The sequence below is a fragment of the Homo sapiens genome, chromosome 18 (assembly GCF_000001405.40).
Source record: "Homo sapiens chromosome 18, GRCh38.p14 Primary Assembly".
Lineage (NCBI taxonomy): Eukaryota > Metazoa > Chordata > Mammalia > Primates > Hominidae > Homo > Homo sapiens.
In genome coordinates, this window is record NC_000018.10 from 36,204,328 (window position 1) to 36,227,951 (window position 23,624).

The window sequence follows — 23,624 nt, forward strand, 5'->3', positions numbered from 1 at the left end:
TGTCCTTTTGTGTCTGGCTTCACTTAGCACGTTTCCAAGATTCATTCATGTTGAAGCATGTATTCTTCATTGCTTTGTGTAGTGTTAAAATGATTTAAACATTAATAATAAAAACAAACAGCAAAAATATGTTTAGAGGAAAAAACATACATTTTGTGATCTGTTACCAAAGGGTCTAAATATCTAAATGTTTAAGTAACATTATGTATAAAAAAGAGGATGACAGGAATGCCTATGGAAAAATTCTGTTGTTCAGTACTGAAGACCTAAACATTTGTCACAAGGGCAGTACCATCCACTATTTACACACATTTAAAATTATTAATGTGAGGTCCAGGTTTGCCAGTTATAACAAACTTGTTTTCTTAAAAGTGAGTTAGTGGTGCCAGGCGTGGTGGCTCATGCCTGTAATCCCAGCACTTTGGGAGGCTGAGGCAGGTGGATTACTTGAGCCCAGGAGCTCAAGACAAGCCTGGGCAACATGGTGAAACTCCATCTCTGCAAAAAATACAAAAATTAGTCAGGCATGGTGGTGAATGCCTGTCGTCCCAGCTACTTGGGAGGCTGAGGTGAGAGGATCACCTGAGCCCAGGAGGTTGAGGCTGCAGTGAGCTGTGATCATACCACTGCACTCCAGCCTGGGTGACAGAGTGAGTGAGACCGTGTCTCAAAAAAAAAAAAAAAAAAAAGAGTGAATTGAGAATTTACATAAAGCTCATGATTCTCTTGTGTTTCATGATTGATTTGAGGTGGAATGGAGAATATAAAGCAGCACACCTTCACCTTGGCTCAGTATACCTACGTGGCCCTGTCCTCTCTCCAGTACCCCAATGGAGCCCCTGTGGTGCGGATTTACAGCGATTCTGAGTTCAGCAGCCCTGAGGTTCAGGGCCCAATCATCAATTTTAATGTGCTGGATGACAAAGGGAACATCATTGGTTACTCCCAGGTGGGTTTTCTTTCCATCCTGCTGACTTTATTACAACTCATCCTAGTTCCAGACGAGAGCAATGTAGTGTGACAAAGTCCATGCACTGTTGAAGAGGCCACCAGGCCCTCAGCCACATGCCTTTCCACCTTCATTCACCCTCGTTTTTCAGTCCTCTTTACTCAGCCAAAAGTGGTAACTTTCAAATGGGAAGAAAGAGGCCAGTTCTTCTGATGGCAGGTGGGAAACTGTTGGGTCTTTGCCATAGTAGAATAAGCTGTTCACTTCACTTCCTGGTCCACTAAAATGTCCAGAGTTGCACTGAGCACTCAGGCATGGTGGTAGGTGGTTATCAGACGGGGTGTCACAGATGGACAACAGGAACCAAATGTTACTCCCAGAGCAGCACTGTGGGGAATGGATTCAATCGTTGGGTGTTTGGAAGACGGTGCTGGTTTTTCCTTGAAAGCACATCTGCATCCCCATTTTTATTTATTTTTTTGAGGTGGGGTCTCGCTCTTTCACCCAGGCTGGCATGCAATGGCATGATCTTGGCTCACTGCAACCTCCACCTCTTGGGTTCAAGCAATTCTCATGCCTCAGCCTTCCGAGTAGCTGGGATTACAGGCACACACCACCACACCTGGCTAATTTTTGTATTTTTAGTAGATACGGGGTTTCACCATTTTGGCTAGGCTGGTCTCAAACTCCTGACCTCAAGTGATCCACCTGTGTTGGCCTCCCAAAGTGCTGGGATTATAGGTGTGAGCCACTGTGCCTGGCCCACATTTTGTTTTTAACAAAGAAAAAAAGGTTTATTTGGCTCATGGTTCTGTTGACTGGAAGATTGGGCATTGGTGAACACCTTAGGTTGCTTCCACCTGTGGAGGAAGGCAAATGTGAACTGGTATGTGCAGCCAGAGAGGAAGCAAGAGAGAGGGTGAGGGAGGTACCTGGCACTTTATTTTTATTTTATTTTTTCTTCCAACTTTTTTTTTTTTTTTTTTTTGAGATGGAGTCTTGCTCTGTCACCCAGGCTGGAGTGCAGTGGCGTGATCTCAGCTCACTGCAACCTCCACCTCTTGGGTTCAAGTGATTCTCTCACCTCAGCCTCCTAAACAGCTGGGACTACGGACATGTGCCACCATGCCTGGCTAGTTTTTATATTTTAGTAGAGATGGGGTTTCACCATGTTGGTCAGGCTGGTCTTGAACTCCTGACCTCAGGTGATCTGCCCGCCTCAGCCTCCCAAAGTGCCGGGATTACAGATGTGAGCCACTGTGCCCGGCGTTCTTCCAACTTTTATTTTAGGTTCAGGGGATACATGTGCAGGCCTGTTACATGGGTACCTGAAAGGTAGTTTCTCAATCTTCCCCTCCCCCCACCTTCTACCCTCAAGTAGGCCCCGGTGGCCGTGGTTTTCTTCTTTGTGTCCATGTGTACTCAATGTTTAGCTCCTAATTATAAGTGGGAACATGCAGTATTTAGGTTTCTGTTTCTGTGTTAATTCACTTAGGATAATGGCCTCCAGCTGCATCATGTTGCTGCAAAGGACTGGTTTCATTTTTTTGTGGCTGTGTAGTATCCCAGGGTGTAAATGTACCACATTTCTTTAACCAGTCTACCACTGATGGGCATATAGGTTGATTCCATGTCCTTGCTGTTGAGAAAAGTGCTACAATGAAGATATGCATGCATTTGCCTTTATGGTAGGATGATTTATATTCCTTTGGGTATATACCAGTAATTTAATTAAGGAATTGGGATGGCTGGATTCAATGGTAGCTCTGTTTGTTTGTTTGAGACAGTCTCACTTTGTTGCCCAAGCTGGAGTGCAGTGGAGCAATCTCAGTTCACTGCAAACTCCGCCTCCTGGGTTCAATTGATTCTCCTGCCTCAGCCTCTCAAGTAGTTGGAATTACAGATGTGCACCACTACGCCCGGTTAATTTTTGTATTTTTAGTAGAGACAGGGTTTCACCATGTTGGTCAGGCTGGTCTCAAACTCCTGGCCTCATGCGATCCACCTGCCTCAGCCTCCCAAAGTGCTGGGATTACAGGCATAAGTCACCATGCTTGGCCAATGGTAGTTCTGTTTTAAATTCTTTTAGAAATCTCCAAACTGTTTTCCACAGTGGCTAAGCTAATTTACATTCCCACTAGCAGTGTATAAGTGTTTTTTTTTATCCACAACCTCAGCAGCATATGTTAATTTTTGACCTTTTAATAGCCATTCCAACTGGTGTGAGATGGTATCTCATTGTGGTTTTAATTTGCATTTCTCTCATGATTAATGATGTCGAACATTTTTTTCATATGCTATTGGCTGCATGTATGTCATCTTTTGATAAGGGTCTGTTCATGTTCTTTGCCCATTTTTAATGGGGTTCTTTGTTTTTTGCTTATTGATTTAAGTTCCTTATAGCTTCCAGATATTAGACCTTTATTAGATGCATAGTTTGCAAATATTTTCTCTCATTCTGTAGGTTATCTGTTTACTCTGTTGATAGTTTCTTTTGCTGTGCCAATGTTCATTAGTTTAGTTAGGCTTCATTTGTCAATTTTTCCTTTTGTTGCAATTGCTTTTGGAGTCTTCATCATGAAGTCTTTGTCAAGGCCTATGTCCAGAATGACATTTCCTACATTTTCTTCTAGGATTTTTATAGTTTCAGGTTTTACATTTAAGCCTGTAATCTGTCTTGAGTTTATTTTTTTATGTGGTGATAGGAAAGGGTCCCATTTCAATCTTCTGCATATCTATAGCCAGTTATCCCAGCACCATTTATTGAATAGGGAGTCTTTTCCCCATTGCTTGTTATTGTCTACTTTGTCAAAGATCTGAGGGTTGTAGGTGTGCGGCTTTATTTCTGGGTTCTCTAACCTTTTCCGTTGAATTTATGTGTCTGTTTTTGTACTAGAACCATGCTGTTTTGATTACTGTAGCCTTGTAGTATAGTTTGATGTCATGTAGTGTGATGCCTTCAGCTTTATTCTTTTTGCTTAGGATTGCTTTGGCTATTTGGGCTCTTTTTTGGTTCCATATGAATTTTAGAATAGTTTTTTTTTCTAATTCCATGAGAAATGACATTGGTAGTTTGATAGGAATAACATTGACTCTGTAAATTGCTTTGGGCAGTGTGAACATCTTAACAATACTGATTGTTCCTATCCATGAGTATGGAATGTTTTTCCATTTGTTTGTGTGGTGTGTGATTTCTTTTAGCGGTATTCTGTAATTCTCATTGTAGATATCCCCCCTGGTAAGGTGGATTCCTAGGTATTTTATTATTTTTGTGGCTATTGTAAATGGGATTGCATTCTTGATTTGGCTTTCAGCTTGGTCATTATTAGTGTATAAAAATGCTACTGATTTTCATGCATTGATTTTGTATCCTGAAACTTTACTGAAGTTGTTTATTAGTTCTAGGAGCCTTTGGGCAGAGATTATGGGATTTTCCGGGTATAGAATCATGTTATCAGTGAAGAGAGATAGGTTGACTTCTTCTCTTCCTATTTGGATGTCTTTTATTTGTTTCTCTTGCCTAATTGCTGTGGCTAGGACTTCCAGTATTATGTTGAAAAGGAGTGGTGAGAGAGGTCATCCTTATCTTGTGCCAGTTTTCAAGGGAAGGGCTTGCAGCTTTTGCCCATTCAGTATGATGTTGGGTGTAGTTTTGTCATAGATGGGTCTTGTTATTTTGATGTATGTTCCTTGGATTCCTAGTTTGTTGGGAGTTTTTAACAGAAGGGATGCTGAATTTTGTTATAAGCCTTTTCTGTGTCTATTGAGATGATCATGTGGTTTTTGTTTTTAGTTCTGTTTATGTAATAAATCACATATATTGATTTGTGTACGTTGAACCAGCTTTGCATCCCAGGAATAAAGCCTACTTGATTATGGTGGATTAACTTTCTCTTCTTCTTTTTTTTTTTTCTTTCTTGGAGACAAGGTTTCACTCTGTTGCCCAGACTGGAGTTCAGTGGCATGATCTTGGTTCACTGCAGCCTTGACCTCCCTGGCTTAAGTGATCCTCCCACCTCAGCTTCCCGAGTAGCTGGGACTACAGGAACATGCCACCATGCCCAGCTAATTTATTTTAATAGTTTTTTATTGTACAGGTGGTTTTTGGTTACATGGATAAGTTCTTTGGTGATGGTTTCTGAGATTTTGGTGCATCCGTCACTTAAGCAGTGTACACATTGTACCCAATATGTAGCCTTTTATCCCTCCCCAATCCCACCCTTCCCCCCTGAGTCCCCAAAGTCCATTATATCATTCTTATGCCTTTGCATCCTCATACTTTAGCTCCCACTTATAAGTGAGAACATATGATATTTGATTTTCCATTCCTGAGTTATTTCACTTAGAATAATGGCCTCCAGCTCCATTCAAGTTGCTGCAAAGGCCATTGTTTTGTTTCGTTTTATGGCTGAGTAGTATTCCATGTTGTGTATATACCACATTTTCTTTATCCACTCATTGGTTGATGGGCATTGAGGTTGGTTCCATATTTTTGCAATTGTGAATTGTGCTGCTATAAACATGTGTGCGTGTGTCTTTTCCACATAATGACGTTTTCTTTGGGTAGATACCCAGTAGTGACACCTGGCTAATTTTTTGGCATTTTTTGTAGAGACAGGGTTTTGTCATGTTGCCCAGGCTGGTCTTGAACACCTGAGCTCAATTAATCTGCCCACCTTGGCCTCCCAAGGTGCTGCGATTACAGGTGTGCACCACTGTACCCGGCTGGATTAGCTCTTTAATGTGCTGCTGGATTCTATTTATTAGTATTTTGTTGAGGATTTTTGTGTCTATGTTCATCATAGGTATTGGCCTGAAGTTTTCTTTCTTCATTGTATCTCTGCCATGTTGTGGTATTAAAATGATGCTGTCCTTATAGAATGAGTTAGGGAGTCAATCCACATTTGTTAAACCCTAGATTTCCCAAACAAAATTCATTTCCCAAGGAATCTTTTTCTCCACTTTTCTGAGTAGCCATAAACTTTCTAAAGAATACTATTGGGCAATATTCTTCTGGGGGAGATGTCGGTCCTCACTGGTGTTCAGGGCAGACACTGTACAGCCACAGGTGGTCTCTTGAGTATGGCAGCTGTGCAGACCCCTTGCCCCCACTGCCCTCAGCTGTCAGTACTGGCAGAACCAGCCCTGACACTACTAAGAAGCACAATATTTTAAATGCTTTTGGAGGGGACAAGGTGGAAAATGCATCAGAGGCAAAAGGTTTGCCTTCTTAAATATGTTATTCTAGGTCATTGGTAACATAAGTTTTATTCTTGAATCAAAAGTAAATGTGCCTGGGTGCGGTGGCTCACACCTGTAATCCTAGCACTTTGGGAGGCCGAGGTTGGTGGACCACCTGAGGTCAGGAGTTGGAGACTATCCTGGCCAACATGGCGAAACCCTGTCTCTACTAAAAATACAAAAATTAGCTGGGCGTGGTGGCACACACCTGTAACCCCAGCTACTCAGAAGGCTGAGGCAGGAGAATCACTTGAACCCGAGAGGTGGAAGTTGCCATGAGCTGAGATTGTACCACTGCACTCCAGCCTGGGTGACAGAGCAAGACTCTGTCTCAAAAAAAAAAAAAAAAAAAAAAAAAAAAAAGTAACTGTGTGTGCTGTGGCAGTGGCATGGGATTGGTAGTGGAGAAGAAGCCTCCAAGAAGAAGAATCACCAGGGTGTGAGGCTGCCTGTGTGGGTGTCTGGGGACTCTCATTCCCCAGGGCTAGACACAGGATGAGTTTCTCCCTCTGTGCCTTGGTAGAGGAAGCTCATTGTGTGAATGGATTCTGTGGCTAAGGCATGACTAACTGTGCCAGTTCAAGAAAGTGCAGTTACGGTTTTTTCAGGTTCAGGGAACTTCACGATATGGGAATTTCCACAGGGATTTTGGTGGCCTTCGGAAACATCAGCTGGGTTTGGCTGTCTCTTTTTCATCAGGGGATGTGTAAAGAATTTAGCTTCCTATGAGAAGGCTTTGTGTTCTTGTTTTGGTATATCCAGGCTTCTAATTTTATTCTCCCACTGTTGGAAGTCACTGCATGGTGATTAAGAGCAGGGACTCAGAGTCTGTCTGCCTCTTGCCAGCTCTGTGAACTTGGGCAAGTTAAGTTCTCCAAGACTCTGTGAAATGGGGATAAAAATATACCCTGATTATAGTGTTGATATGAGGATTAAATGAGACACAATATATACATCCCTTAGCACAGGACCCAGAAGAAAGTAAGTGCTCAATGAATGTTGGGCACAAAGGCTCCCGGGCTGGGAGCCTCCAGGGCATTGTGGCTGGGCCTGTTTCTCAGTCCTCCCTGAATGCTGTGCTCATCCTGCCATAGAAAACAACCTCCTTCACCTGGCTGGGCACAGTCTGGGCCTGTGTGGGATTCCCCAGGGCTGAGGGCAAGAAGAGACTGATGCATAAAAGGGAAATTAGGACAAAGGGTAAGTGTGGCTGCAACAGCATCTTCTGCTCACATCCTCTCCTGCCATGAGACTTTGACACTCCTCCATGGAGGGCTGGGGATCTGTGGGTCTTCCCCTAGAATCTGGGCTGATCTGTGACTCGCTCATAGCTAACAGAGTGCCGGGAGGATGACACTGCATGGCTTCTAAGGCTAGATCAGAAGAGATGATGCCCTATTGGCTTTGTTCCCTGGGACACTAGCTTTGGAGCCTGGAGTTACGCTGTCAGCTACTGTCTCGAGCCCTGAGGCTGCTGTGTGTGCTGCAAGGATGCCAAGCCACATGGAGACGCCAAGCTCAGGACTGTGGCTGGCGGTCCTAATTCTGAAGCCCTTCCAGCCTGTGGACCAGAAAGACCCAGGAGTAAAGGAGTCTCCAGATGATCCCAACCCCCAGATGCCAAACTACTCCCAGACTTTGAGTCTTCCTAGCTGAGACTCCAGACATTTTGAGACAGACAGGAGACATCTCCTCCATGCCCTGTTTAAATTCTTCCCACACTGTAGCCATGAGCTGCATAAAATGGTTGTTGTTTTATTCTCCCTAGTTTGGGTGGCCTACTTCACAGCAAAAGTAACTGGAATGGTGAATATGGGGGAGTGGGTGAGGGGCAGCCACGGGGACTCTAATTCAGCCTGGTGGGAGCTGGACGGGGGTCGGGGGTCTCCCTAGTAGTTGCCTTGTGACGGGAAACCTGACCTGGAGATGGAGTTGGCCAGGCCCAGTAGAGCTGCCAGGACTCACCTTAGAGCTGGGAAACTCCTGAATTCACTAGCAGGTCTGCATGCCAGTGGGCCATTAGCCAAGGGTGAAGGAACAGAATTGTTCATCTGAAGCCCCTCAGTTCAACCCAGAGAATGGCTTCTTCTCACACACCAGAGGAGATGGCCAAAGTGAAGACTGCCGTGGTCTTGATAAGGGTCTGTGGGAGGCATCGTTGCCCAGCCAAGATCCCTGGCTGACCACACGGTGACCTCTGGCCACCCCACATGTGACTTCCCAGGGAGAAAAATTCAAAGGCTCACTCAGCTGAGCAAGATGTGTTTATTTTCCTGAATGCAGTTCAGTGACTCCTCCTCCTGAATTCAGCCTGAGCCCCCAGGGTGAGGACTCTTACTGGGCCCCCAGGCCCTTGGGGAATGGAGTACTTGATTCACAGCCTGGAGGAACTGGAGCAAACATCCCAGGGGCTCATGTGAATGAGAACCACCTCCCAGAGCCTTCAGAGGGCAGGAAAGAGCTTTGGGAACTTCTGGACTGAAAAGCAATTCTGTGATTAAACCGAAAGTTGGAGAAAGTAGGAAAAGCAAATCAATTATACTCAGCATGGACACAGTAACACTTGGAGTCCAGGCTGCGAGCTGAGGCGGGGCTGCTCGGAATAACACTTCGCGGGGCCTGCTCTGTGGTCCAACCCTGTGCAGCTGATGCCAAGAAGCCACTGTCTCCAGCCCCACTGAAACATTTTATACAACGTTTAACCTGTGATAAATCATTTTAGAGGACAATTCCAGGCTTGTATCATCATTTTATTATTAGGAAAGAGAGGTCCAAATCCTGATCTGAATCTCTCAGAGTAAAACTGCACGTTGGTAATGGCTCATTCCATGTTACATTAAATCCGCAGGTGGACAAAATGGCCAGTCTTTACAACATCCACCTGCGAACTGGCTGCTTCTGTAACACTGGGGCCTGCCAGAGGCACCTGGGCATAAGCAACGAGATGGTCAGGAAGCATTTTCAGGTTGGTACAGGGCTCTGCGATCCAGACGCTGGTCAGCGAGACCCAGCAACACCTGTTGCTGCCTGTGTGTCTGGGGTGGGGGCTGCTGCTGCATACTCATTTCTCCACGCCTACTCTGTGCATGTACAAAGGAAAAGGAATACAAATGGAAAATGCTTCAAGAAGGCCGGGTGCGGTGGCTCACGCCTGTAATCCCAGCACTTTGGGAGGCCGAGGCAGGTGGATCACCTGAGGTCAGGAGTTCGAGACAAGCCTGGCCAACATGGTGAAACCCTGTCTCTACTAAAGATGCAAAAATTAGCCAGGCATGATGGCATGCGCCTGTAATCCTAGCTACTTGGGAGGCTGAGGCAGGAGAATCGTTTGAGCCCAGGAGGCAGAGGTTGCAGTGAGCCGAGATCGCACCATTGCACTCCAGTGCCTGGGTGACAGAGCAAGACTCCATCCCCCTCCAACCAAAGAAAAAAAAAAAGAAGAAGCCGGGCACGGTGGCTCATGCCTGTAATCACAGCACTTTGGGAGGCCGAGGTGGGCGAGTCACCTGAGGTCAGGAGTTCATGACCAGCCTGACCAACATGGAGAAACCCTCTCTCTACTGAAAATATAAAATTATCCAGGTGTGGTGGTGCATGCCTGTAATCCTAGCTAGTCAGGAGGCTGAGGCAGGAGAACTGCTTGAACCCGGGAGGTCGAGGTTGTGGTGGTGAGCTGAGATTCTGCCATTGCACTCCAGCCTGGGCAAAAAGAGCAAAACTCAGTCTCAAAAAAAAAAAAAAAAAAGAAAAGAAAAAAAAGAAAATGCTTCAAGATATTATCTCTATAGCAGACTTTCAGATTCATTTTTTACTTTGAGGCCAACCATTTAAAGGCAAGGGAGGGGTGTTAACAAGGGATGTGTGAGGATGTGCCCTTACCTGGTTCAGCCCTCCTGAGGTACGGCCTCCAAGCTAGAGTTAGCTGACATCTGGGTTGGGTGCGGTGTGGAACTCTTCTAGGGCTCCAGGGATTCTGCGTCTCCCAGAATCCCCACCCTCCCTGTCTCTTCCCTGGGCTGAGGTTTTTCACTTCAGGGTATAGCCTGTTTTGAACCATTTCATTAGGAATAATTTGAGTGGCAAAGAGTGTTTATTGATTTGAGTTTCTAATTTGATTTTCCTTTGGTTGCTGTGAAATACTGTATATACTAGATCTCAACTAACCATGAACTGAGTTTTGTTTAAAAAGAAAGAGGGATAGGACAGAAGGAGAGGGAGGAGATAGGAGAGAGGGAGGAGAAGAAATAGAGAGGGAGAGGGAGGCTCAGAACACAAACACAGCTCCAGATAGAATATTTGGTCCTATGGAACGCTGTGGCTCCATTTGTTCGGGTGTCTGACCCGGATCCAGCACCAAGGTTTGTCCAGGACTGCTCCATGCACTGTGCTGACCTGTGACCAACACCAGGCAGCCGGGCTCGGAGACTGAGATTCTCCTGCCTTTCTTCCCCATCTCCCTGCAGGGGCACTCAAGCTGACCTTGGCCTTCACAGTGGCCCGGGGCTGGTCATTTGCAGGGGCAGCATCTCTGCCTTTCCCTGTTGTCAAGGGGCAGCTCTCAGGGATGCAGGCCTCCCCTCAGTAATGAGAGGCTAACGAGAGTGACCAGTGATGTTTCTCCCATCTCAGCCCCGGGTAGACCTTGAGGTTGACCCCTTGGTGCTTCTGAAACCTTAGTCTGTGTTTTGACACCTCTGTGAGCCAGCCCTGTGCCTGGCTCTAGGTAAATGCTTTCCATGAAGTATTTCTATTAAACTTTTAATGGCCCCTTGAGATTGATATTGGTCCCAATTTACAGTTGAGCAAAATGAGATCCAGAAAGTGGTCCCCTGCAGGTAGAGAGCTGAACTATGTCCCAGACGCACAGCACATATTAATGTTGCAGTTCTGTTTTCCTGGGTTAATTTTAAAATTAACAAAATTTATTTTGCCGAACTGTTTCCAGTGTCTCTATGAGAAAGGGGTCACTCTGGCTGATGCACTTCCCTCTTATCCTAGGCTGGTCATGTCTGTGGGGACAATATGGACCTCATAGATGGGCAGCCCACAGGATCTGTGAGGATTTCATTTGGATACATGTCGACGCTGGATGATGTCCAGGCCTTTCTTAGGTTCATCATAGACACTCGCCTGCACTCATCAGGGGACTGGCCTGTCCCTCAGGCCCATGCTGACACCGGGGAGACTGGAGCCCCATCAGCAGACAGCCAGGCTGATGTTATACCTGCTGTCATGGGCAGACGTAGCCTCTCGCCTCAGGAAGATGCCCTCACAGGCTCCAGGGTTTGGAACAACTCGTCTACTGTGAATGCTGTGCCTGTGGCCCCACCTGTGTGTGATGTCGCCAGAACCCAGCCGACTCCTTCAGAGAAAGCTGCAGGAGTCCTGGAGGGGGCCCTTGGGCCACATGTTGTCACTAACCTTTATCTCTATCCAATCAAATCCTGTGCTGCATTTGAGGTAAGGAATTTCACAGCAGCACAGAAAGTCTTCTCTTTGTTTACTCTCTCTATTTTTTGATAAAGTGAAGAAAAGCATGAAAAAAATCAAAATCATTCATCAGAGTGTTGTGGTGAGAAAAGCCATTCTCACTCTCCCTTTCTTGGTCTGTGCTGACTTTTGAACATGACTGCTCACGGGGACTCCTGAGAGGACCCTGTTTCTGAGTGGTGAATGTGTCATTACTCTTATTAATTATAGCTGTAACTTTCACTGAATGTGTGTGCTGGCTGTGTGCTGAAGCATTGTATGTGTTTATTTGTTTCATTTGATCCTTAAAATGGTGAAATATGAGGTAGATAGTAATATTATCCCTATTTTATAGATATGGAGCCTGAGGGTTTTGAGGTTAAGCACTTTGCCCAGGTGACCTGAAGATATGTCAAAAGGACACAAGAGCCAGCTTGAAGGAGCTCCCGTTGGCCAAGTCTTTGGCAATATGTACATCAAAATAAGTACTGATAGTGATGAGTGGTGAGCATTTGAGAAACACAGGAATCCATGAGTCCAGTAGAAAGTAAAAATGAATTAGCGAATAAATAGAGAAGAAGCTCAACCCTACTATAGAATACCAACTAATAAATCAATGATAGAATTTTAAAAACTACCATTTTGCAACCATCATGCCAATAATTGATTTAGGCAATAGTCATCAATAGATGCTAAATCTAATGAATGAAAATTTGATAAGTAACAGGATATCTGCATATTCTGAAAATATCTCTCCATAAAATACTTATTAATTAGTAAGTACCGCCTACTTATTGATGAATTTTACAATGGAGAAACCTAATAGACCCCATGTTAACCAAGTGGCAAAAGTTGACATCACCAACATTGGGACAAATGAATGGGGTGTGTCTCCTGGGATGTACAGAGAAGAACATAGCGTTGGTCCTGAGGCATTCCTACCAAAAATGCAGAAATAATAAGGAAGCTCAGATAATCCCACCTTAAGAGACATTTAGCAAGGTAGCTGGACTCTACTTCTCAAAAATATCATGGTTGTGAAAGACAAGAGGAGACTGAAGGAGACTAGAGAGACGCGACAAATGTATGCAACGTGATATTCGATGCAGACAGCAGAGGTGGAATCTGAATGGAGTCTATTGATTAGTTGTAATATCAGGTCAATGGTAATTCCTAATTTTGATGGTTGTACTGGGGTTATGTCAGAGAGTGTCCTTATACTTAGAATATGTACAGTAGAGTATTATGGGGATGATGAGACATTATTTTGCAACTTATTCTCAAATGATTTAGAAAAGTCAACAATCAGAATTGGAGTGAAACGTTTATGGGAGCTCTGTGAACTGTAACTACTTTTATTTAAGCTTAAAGTATATTAAAAATATTAAATTTTAATTTTTCTAAATTGTGGCATCAGTAAATAATGTTACTTTTTTTTGCATCTTTACTACTGAGGGTAGCTGGGCTCCCTTATGTGTGCACTGCAGGGACATCTATGACTAGTTCTGTGGTTGGAACTCTGAACCTTTGCCTTTGTCCACACCCTTCTTCAGCAGACAGCTGGCTCAGGAAAAGCCCTCATTGAAGGGACATTGCACCCATGCTATCACTTGCTGGTGCTGTTAAAACCTAACCTGTGGACAACCGCTCCTGCAAAGGGCAGGAGCAGGAAGCCAGCAGAGACGAAATTGGACTAATTCTCTCTGTACTCAGAGAAAGCACATCCTTGCTAAAATAAAGGTTCAAAGAAGAAACGAGATGAAAACTGAATTGGTCTTGTAGCTTAGGAAATAAGTGGAGGGGATGTATGAAACTTACAGAATGTAACCCACAGCTGTTTATTCCCAACTAAACCCCCAGATGGCTTAGGGAACCACCATGACATCTTGTGAGGATGCTGCAGCCTTTCCTCAATGTGGGCCTCTGTTTCTGAACTTGGGCCCTTCTCACAATTACATGAAGCTGCTTCTATTGCTCCACAGCTGAACTTCTATACCAGAACGGTCAACCCAAAGAACATCATCTCCATTAGTTTAGGATCTCACCATCTTGCAAAAGCAGGATGGGGCGACAAGGCTTGGCATCTGTGGTAGGTGAACCCAGAGATATGGTGGAAGGAGCAGCAGGAGGGAGCTGCTGGTGGGACGGCTACACCTCTTATACAGGTCAGCTGTAGGCTGGGAAACTGCACTTCAGAGACCCTGATGGAAGGAAAACAAGCAAAGTTAGAAATAATCAATGCCTCTTGTTATTCTGTGATGTCAGCTTTTGATACCTATACCCACCTAACTGGTGGTTTTAATTTTTTCCATCAGCAGACTCTGTCAAATTTAATTTTACCTTTTATGGCTTTTTTTTTTTCTTTTAGAGAAACACACCACCAGGAAGAACATTTGTACCTTATCTTCCGGGTCTTCGAAAAAGCCAGCATCTTTTTGGGGAAACAGTTTAAAACTAGTTTCTCAGGGAGCTTTCTTCTGTGCTGAAAGACTTCTTACTTGCTACTCACTTTATCCATTTATTCATTTGCTTATTATTATTTTTTCGAGATGGGATCTCACTCTGTCTCCCAGGCTGGAATACAGTGCTGCCATCAAAGCTCACTGCAGTTTTGAACTCCTGGTCTCAAGCTATCCTCCCGCCTCTGCCTCTTGAGTAGCTGAGACTACAGGCATACACCACCATGCCTGGCTACTTTTTAATTTTCATTTTTTTTAGAGACAGGGTCTTGCTATGTTGATCAGGCTGGTCTTGAACTCCTTGCCTCAAGTGATCCCCCTGCCTCAACCTCCCAAAGTGCTGGCGTTACAGACATAAGCCACTGCGCCCAGCTCTACTCACTTTATTTTATTTTATTTATTTATTTATTTATTTATTTATTTATTTATTTATTTATTTTTGAGATGAAGTCTCGCTCTGTCGCCCAGACTGGAGTGCAATGGCACGATCTTGGCTCACTGCAAGCTCCGCCTCCTGGGTTCAATTGATTCTCCTGCCTCAGCCTCCAGAGCAGCTAGGACTACAGGCGCCTGCCATCAAGCCCGGCTAATTTTTGTATTTTTAGTAGAGATGGGGTTTCACCATGTCGGCCAGGATGGTCTTGAACTCCTGACCTCGTGATCTGCCCGCCTCAGTCTCCCAAAGTGCTGGGATTATAGGAATGAGCCACCATGCCTGGCTATTTATTATTATTATTATTTTATTTTATTTTTTTTTTTGACACAGAGTCTCACTCTTGTCGCCCAGGCTGGAGTGCAATGACATGATCTCGGCTCACTGCAACCTCCGCTTCCTAGGTTCAAGCAATTCTCTCAGCTGATTTTTTGTATTTTTAGTAGAAAAATATGTCTATACTATTATGAAATACCTGGACAGACACCACTGCTAAGGAAGGATATACAAGAGCAAAGGGGTGGGCGTGGTGGCTCATGCCTGTAATCCCAGAACTTTGGGAGGCAAAGGCAGGTGGATCACTTGAGGTCAGGAGTTTGAGACCAGCCTGGCTAACATGGTGAAACCCTGTCTTTACTAAAAATACAAAACTTAGCCGGGCATGGTGGCAGGTGCCTGTAATCCCAGCTACTCAGGAGGCTGAGGCAGGAGAATAGCTTAAACCCAGGAGGCAGAGGTTGCAATGGGCTGAGATTGCACCACTACACTCCAGCCTGGGCGACAGAGCAAGACTCCATCTTAAAAACAAACAAACAAACAAACAAATTAAAAAACAGCAAAAAAAGAGCAATGGCTGGAGCCAGCTGGGAAAGGAGGCTTGCTTTTCACTGTAGACTCTTGTACTCTCTGAATGTCAGGCATTACCTACTTAAAACATGGCTCGAAGTGGAGAAGGGTGGAGTGTGGACCTGGAGGCTGAATGGGAGATATCCAGCTCCTACATCATCTTCTTTGCACTGTCCTCTCTGTTTTAGTTTCTTCTCTTCCTCCCTTTCTTCCTTCCAGTGTAGGTGCTGAATTCATGAAGTCTATCTGTGTTTGTGTAGCCACTGTACAAATAGGTGAAGACCAACTTTGGGGAGCCCTGGCCTGAGACACGTCTACCTTTTTGTTTAGGTGACCAGGTGGCCTGTAGGAAACCAAGGGCTGCTATATGACCGGAGCTGGATGGTTGTGAATCACAATGGTGTTTGCCTGAGTCAGAAGCAGGAACCCCGGCTCTGCCTGATCCAGCCCTTCATCGACTTGCGGCAAAGGATCATGGTCATCAAAGCCAAAGGTGGGAAAACTGCTTCATTTTCACAGAGCAGCTCCCAACAGCAGCTTTTATATTCATATGAAATACTCTACCAAGTGTTAGAATAACCCATCAGCCTGGGCAATACAGTGAGACCTCATCTCTACAAAAAAAAAAAAAAAATTATCCTGGGTGTGGGAGCACGTGCCTGTAATCTCAGCTACTCAGGAGGCTGAGGCACAAGAATCACTTGAACCCGGGAGGTGGAGGTTGCAGTGAATCGAGATCATGCCATTGCATTCCGGCCTGGGCGACAGAGCAAGACCTTGTATCAAGGGAAAAAATGGGTAAAATAACCTGAAAGTAAGGGAAATAGTGTCTAGGAAACACAACAAAGAGTTTGTTCCCCTTGATTTTGGGAAATTTCGGGAGACAGAAAGATCTGACAGTTCAATCAGACGGTAAAGAGGGGCCAGGTGCGGTGGCTCACGCTTGTAATCCCAGCACTGCAGAGGTGGGCAGATCACTTGAGGTCAAAAGTTCGAGACCAGACTGGCCAACATGACGAAACCCCTTCTCTACTAAAAATACAAAAAGAAGCTGGGCATGGTGGCACGTGCCTGTGATCCCAGCTACTTGGGTACTTGGGAGGCTGAGGCAGGAGTATCGCTTGAGCCCCAGAGGTGGAGGCTGCAGTGAGCCCAGATCGCACCACTGCACTCCAGCTTGGGCAACAGAGGGTGATGATGTCTCAAAAGAAAAAAAAAAAAAGTATAAACTTTATATTAATTAGATGATGTCCTATTTACTTAAGTTTCTTTTATTTTCTTCACTCATCATCATGTATACTGCAGGCTTTAATTCATCCTTGTTGATTTTGTTATGAGTGACATGAATGATCAAACCAATAGAAAAGTATAGGCCCACTCTGTTTAGTAGAACTTTCTGTGGTGATGAAAATGTTCAAACTATACCTTGTCCAGTTTAGTGGCCACCAGTCACTTGTGACTATTGAAATGTGGCTAGTGGGACACTAGAACTGAATTTTAAATTTTACTTAATTTTAATTAGTTTAAATAGCTACGTGTAGCTATGCTACAGTGTTGGACAGCACGGGTATAAAGAATAATACACAATTACAGCATTCAATTTTAGCAAATCTTAACATTTGGCCACATTTCCTTTAGGTCCTCCTCCTCCTCTTCCTTTTTCTTTTTTAGCACACATACGTACATACATAAAACATTACATAGCAGTTGTGGTGCTGGGTTAAAAAAAGGTAAAAGACATTACAGATACAGCAGAAATTTCCTGTGGACCTCTCCTGAGTCTTACTCCTCCTCCTTTCCCATTCCACTAACTTGCAGTTGTACTTTTGTGATATATAACATTTCCATATATTCACGATTGTGTTTCTTGGCTGTAAGTGTTCTGTTCTGTTCTGTTCTGTTCTGTTCTGTTCTGTTCTGTTCTGTTCCCGTGGTTTATTTTTCCTTGAACCAAGAGGCCAGTGTTATTACTAGAGTTATAGAATAAGTCTTGATATCCCATTGTTTTTTTTTTTTTTTGAGACAGAGTTTCACTCTTGTTGTCCAGGCTGGAGTGCAATGGCGTGATCTCGGCTCACTGCAACCTCTGCCTCCTGGGTTCAGCGATTCTTGTGCTTCAGCCTCCCGAGTAGCTGGGATTACAGGCATGCAGCACCATGACTGGCTGATTTTGTATTTTTAGTAGAGACAGGGTTTCTCCGTGTTGGTAAGGCTGGTCTCGAACTCCCGACCTCAGGTGATCTGCCCACCTTGGCATCCCAAAGTGCTGGGATTACAGGCATAAGCCACTGCGCTGGCCCTATTATCCCATTTGTTTAAATTGTCTGTTGTCACATATTGCAGAATCTCTTTTAAGATTGAGTAGTATTCCATTAAATGAGTATACCATATTTACTTTGTTCATCTCTTAATGGACATTTAGATTGTATCCATATCTTGGCTATTGGAAATAGAGCTGCAATGAACATTGGGAGTGCTAATATCTCTTCGGTATCCTGGTTGAAATTATTTTGGATAAGTACCCAGAAGTGGGATCACTGGATCATTTGATAGTTTTATTTTTAATTTTCTAAGAAATCTCAATATTGTTTTTCATATTAACTGAAAAATTTTACATACCCACCAGTGGTTGCAAGGGCTCAAGTTTTTCCACATTCTCGACAACACTTACTTACTGTCTTTTGTTTGTTTTCTTTTGACAATAGCCATCCTGACAGGGGTAGAGTGATATCTCATTTTGATTTCAATTTGCATTTCCCTCATTATTAGTGATGTTAAACATTTTCCATATACCCATTGACCATTAGTACATCTTCTTTGGAGGAATACCTAGAAATACCTATTCAGGTCTTGAACCCATTTTTTTTTTTTAATTTTTTAATTTTTTTTTTTTTAGAGACAGAGCCTCGCTCTGTCGCCCAGGCTGGAGTACAGTGGCGCGATCTTGGCTCACTGCAAGCTCTGCCTTCCAGGTTCACGCCATTCTCCTGCCTCAGCCTTCCCAGTAGCTGGGACTACAGGCGCCCGCCACTACGCCTGGCTAATTTTTGTATTTTTAGTAGAGACGGGGTTTCACCGTGTTAGCCAGGATGGTCTCGATTTCCTGACCTTGTGATCTGCCTGCCTCGGCCTCCCAGAGTGCTGGGATTACAGGCGTGAGCCATCGCGCCCAGCCACTAACCCATTTTTAAATTAGGTTATTTGGTTTTCTGTTTGTTTGTTTACTGCTGAGTTGTAGGAGTTCCTTATATATCTTTGAGGTTAACTACTTTTTCAGATAAATGGTTTGAAAATATTTTCTCCCATTCCACAGGTTGCCTTTTCACTTTTTTAATTGTTCCCTTTGCTGTGCAGAAGCTTTTTAGTTGGATATAGTCCCATTTGTGTATTTTTGTTTTTGTTACTTGTGCTTTGGGTGTCATATTCACAAAGTTATTGCCAAGACCAATGTCATGAAGTTTTTCCCCTATGTTTTCTGCCAGGAGCTTTACATTTTGGGATCTTGTGCTTAAATCTCTAATCCATTTGAGTTGAAGTTTTTGTATGATGTAAGATAAGGGTCCAATTTTATTCTTTTACATGTGGATATCCAGTTTTCCCAACACCATTTGTTGAAAAGACTATCTTTTCTCCATTGTGTTTTCTTGACACCCTTTCCAAAGATCATGTAACCATATATGCATGGATTTATATCTGGACTCTCTAGCCTGTTTCATTAGTCTGTGTATCTGTCTTTGTGCCAGTACCATACTGCTTTGATTACTATAGCTATAGTGATATATTTTAAAATCAGGAATTGTGACAACTCCAGCTTTGTTCTTCTTTCTCAAGATTAATTAGTTTATTTGTCATCTTTTGTGGGTCTATATGAATTTTAGGATCGTTCTTTCTATTTCTGTAAAAAAATGCCATTGCGATTTTGATAGGGATTGCATTGAATCTGCGGATTGCTTTGGGCTCTATAGACATTTTAACAATATTAATTCTTCTAATCCATGAACATGGAGTGCCTTTCCATTTGTTTAATTTCTTGTTTGTGTCTTATTTCTTTCATCAATGTTTTGTAGTTTTCAGAATGTGAGTATTTCACCTCCTTAGATAAGTTTCTTTTGTTCTTTTAAAAGAGATTTAGGGTCTCACTCTGTTGCCCAAACTGGAATAGAGTGGCATGATCACAACTCACTGCAGCCTTGAACTCCTGGGCTCAAGCAATCCTCCTGCTTCAGCCTCCTGAGTAGCTGGGACAACAGGCATGTGCCACCATGCCTGGTCTAGATGAGTTCATTTCTAGGTATTGTACTCTTTTTTTTGTGCTATTATAAGTGGGATTGGTCTTCTTATTTCCTTTTCAGAGAGTTTGTTTTTAGTGTATAGAAATGCAATAGATTTTTGCATGTTGATGTGTATCCTGTATCCTGCAACTTTACTGAATTCATTTATTAGTTTAACAGTTTTTTAAAATGGAGTATTTAGAATTTTTTGAATATATAAGATCATGTTTTTTGATCAAACAAGGACAATTTTACTTCCCTTTTCCAATTTGAATGTCTTTTATTTCTTTTTCTTGCCTAATTGCTCTGACTAGAACTTCCAGTACTATGTCAAATAGTGGAGGCAAGAATGGGCTTCTTTGCCTTGTTCCTGATCTTAAGAGAAAAAGTTTTCAGTTTTTCATCATGGAGTATAATGTTAGTTGTAGGCTTTTCATATGGCATTTATTATCTTGAGGTAACATGTTCTATTCCTAGGTTATTAAGTTTTTATTATGAGAGGGTGCTGAATTTTGTCAAATGCTTTTTCTGTGTCCATTGAGATGAATATGTAATTTTCTCCTCTATTCTGTTAATGTAGTATGTCACATTAATTGATTTTCATATGTTGAATCATCCTTACATCCCAGGAATAAAGCTCACTTTCTCATGGTGTATGATCCTTTTAATGTACTGTTAGATTAAGTTTTGTTGAGGATGTTTGTGTTTATATTCGTCAGGGATATTGGCCTGCAGTTGTCTTTGCCTGCCTTTAGTATCAAGATAATGCTGGCCTCATAAAATGAGTTTGGGAATGTTCCCTCCTCTTAGTTTTTAAGTAGAGTTTGAGAAGATTTAGTATTAATTCTTCTTTAAATATTTGATAGCATTCAGCAGTGAAGCCATTTGGATGTAGGCTTTTCTTTGTTGAGAGGTTTTTGATTACTGATTCAATCTTCATACTAGTTGTAGGTTTGCTCAGGCTTTATTTTGTTCATGTTTAGTTTCGATAGATAGTATGTTTCTAGGAATTTATTCATTTCTTCTAGGTTATCCAGTTTGTTGGCATATAGTTGTTTATAGTAATTTCTTAGAATATTTTATTTTTGTGGCATTATTTATAGTGTCTCATTTCATTTCAGATTTTGAGTTTTCAATTTTTCTTTTCTTTTTTTTTGTTTTGTTTGTTTGTTTTTGAGACGGAGTCTCATTCTGTTGCCAGGCTGGAGTGCAGTGGCACGATCTCGGCTCACTGCAACCTCCGCCTCCTGGGTTCAAGTGATTCTCCTGCCTCAGCCTCCCGAGTAGCTGGGACTACAGGTGCGCACCACCATGCCCAGCTAATTTTTGTACTTTTTGTAGAGAGAGGGTTTCACCATGTTGGCCAGGATGGTCTCGATCTCTTGACCTCGTGATCTGCCTGCCTTGGCCTCCCAAAGTGCTGGGATTACAAGCGTGAGCCACTGTGCCCGGCAAGTTTTCTATTTTTCTTAGTCTAGATAAAAGCTTGTCAGTTCTGTTTTTCAAAAATCCAACTTAGTTTTGTTAATGTTTTCCATTTTTCAATTTTATTTATTTCCATTGCAATCTTTGTTGTTTCATTCCTTGTGCTAAATTTGGGTTTACTTTGTTCTCCTTTTTCTAGTTCCTTGTGGTGTAAAATTAGGTTGTTTGAGATCTTTCTTCTTTTTTACTGTAGACACTTACTGCCATGAGCTTACTATTTAGTACTGCTTTTGCCATATCCCATAAATTTTGATATTTTATGTTTTCATTTGTCTTTGGTATTTTATAATTTTTAAAATTTTCTTCTTTGATCAAATGGTCATTTAAGAGTGTGTTGTTTCATTTCCACATATTTGTGAATTTTTCCATTTTCTTGCTGCTACTATTTCTAGTTTCATTTCATTGTGGTCAGAAACTTGATATGATTTCAATCTTTTTAAATTCATTGTCTTTTTTTTTTTTTTTAAGTCTTGTTTTAAGACCTAACATGATCTATCCTGGAGAAAGATCCGTGTGTGCCTTAGAAGAATGTGTATTCTTCTGCTGTTGGGTGAAACGTTTTATGTATGTTTGTTAGGTCCATTTGGTCTACAGTATGATTCAAGTCCTCCCTTGATCTTCAGTTTGCATGTTCTGTCCATTATTGAATTTATTTTTCTTTTGCTGTCTATTTCTCCTTTCGGTTCTGTCAATGTTTGCTTTATGTATTTAGGTGCTCTGATGTTGGGTGCATATATATTTATAATTGTTATATACTCCTGGTGGATTGATCATTTTATCATCATAAAATGTCCTTCTTTATCTCTTGTGACAGTTTTTGACTTAAAGTCCATTTTAATGGACATAATTATAGCCACTCCTACTCTCTTTTGGTTACCATTTGCATGGAATATCTTTTTCCATCTGTTTACTTTCAGTCTATGTATATCCTTAAACCTAATGTCAGTTTCTTTTAAACAGCATACAGTTGGGTTTTTTTTTATGTCTTTTTATGCTTCTTTTTTTTTATTCAGCCACTCTAAGTCTTTTGATTGGAGAGTTTAATCAAATATATTTAGAGTAATTATTGATAAGGATTTAATATTGCCATTTGGCTAGTTGTTTTCTGTTAGTCTTATAGTTCTTTTGTCTGTCTTTTCACCTCTTGCTGTCTTTGTGTTTTGTTGATATTTTATATTAATGGGCTTTAATTCCTTTGTCTTTTCCTTTTTGTGTAACTTCTATAGGTTTTTTCTTTTTTTTTTTGGTGTGTAGTTATTTCGAGGCTTACATAAAATATCTTAGAGTTATAACGGTCTATTTTAAGCTGACAGCAAGTTTAATCACATACATAACTCTACACTTTAAGCTTTGCTCCCCATACTTTACGTATGGTTGTCAGGATTTACATCTATTCATGATGTGTATCTTTTTTTTTTTTTTTTGAGACAGGGTCTTGCTCTGTTGCCCAGGCTGGAGTACAGTGGTGTGATCTTGACTCACTGCAAACTCTGCCACCTAGGCTCAAGCAATCATCCCACCTAAGCCTCCTGAGTAGTCCTAAGCTAAGTCCTAAGCTAAGTCCTAAGCAGACACATGCCACCATGCCTGGCTAATTTTTGTATTTTTTTTTTTAGAGACAGGGTTTCACCATGTTGCTCAGGTTGGTCTTGAACTCCTGAACTTAAGCAATCCATCCTCCTTGGCCTCCCAAAGTGTTGGAATTATGGGCATGAGCCACCACCCCTGGCCCATATTTGTATCTTTTAACACATATGTATATATTTTAAGAGATGTGGTCTCACTCTGTTGCCCAGGCTGGAGTGCAGTGACATGATCATAGCTCATTACAGTTTTGAACTCCTGGGTTCAAGTGATCCTCCTGCCTTACCCTACCGAGTAGCTGGGACTACTGATATGTGCTGCCATGCCCAGCTAAATTTTTTTTTTTTTTGAGATGGGGTCTCGCTCTGTCACCCAGGCTGGAGTGCAGTGGCATGATCCCAGCTCACTGCAACCTCTGCCTCCTGGGTTCAAGAGATTCTTCTTCCTCAGCTTTCCGGGTAGCTGGGATAACAAGTGCATGCCACCACACCCAGCTAATTTTTGTATTTTTAGTAGAGATGGGGTTTCACCACGTTGGCCAGGCTGGTCCTGAACTCCTAACCTCAGGTGATCTGCCTGTCTCGGCCTCCCAAAGTATGGGGATTATAGGTGTGAGCCACTGTGCCTGGCCCATGCCCAACTAAATTTTTAAAACTTTTAAAAAGATGAGTTCTCTCCAATCTAGGCAATACCATTCAGGACATAAGTAAGGGCAAAGGTTTCATAGTGAAGACAGCAAAAGCAATTGCAACAAAAGCAAAAATTGACAAATGGGATATAATTAAACTAGAGAGCTTCTGCACAGCAAAAGGAATGATCAACAGAGTAAACAGACAGCCTATAGAATGGGAGAAAATTTTTGCAAACTATGCATCTGACAAAGGTCT

The 23,624-nt window shown here is 42.6% G+C and overlaps 1 protein-coding gene across 1 annotated transcript in view; it reads left to right on the top strand.

Moving 5' to 3' along the window:
- MOCOS (molybdenum cofactor sulfurase) overlaps positions 1–23,624 on the top strand; it is an 84,661-nt gene that overhangs the window by 16,831 nt on the left and 44,206 nt on the right. The window contains exons 6-9 of the mRNA NM_017947.4: positions 750–949; positions 9,039–9,155; positions 11,189–11,650; positions 15,728–15,890. Of these exons, the coding sequence (NP_060417.4) occupies positions 750–949; positions 9,039–9,155; positions 11,189–11,650; positions 15,728–15,890 (942 nt within the window). The remainder of the gene's footprint in view (positions 1–749; positions 950–9,038; positions 9,156–11,188; positions 11,651–15,727; positions 15,891–23,624) is intronic.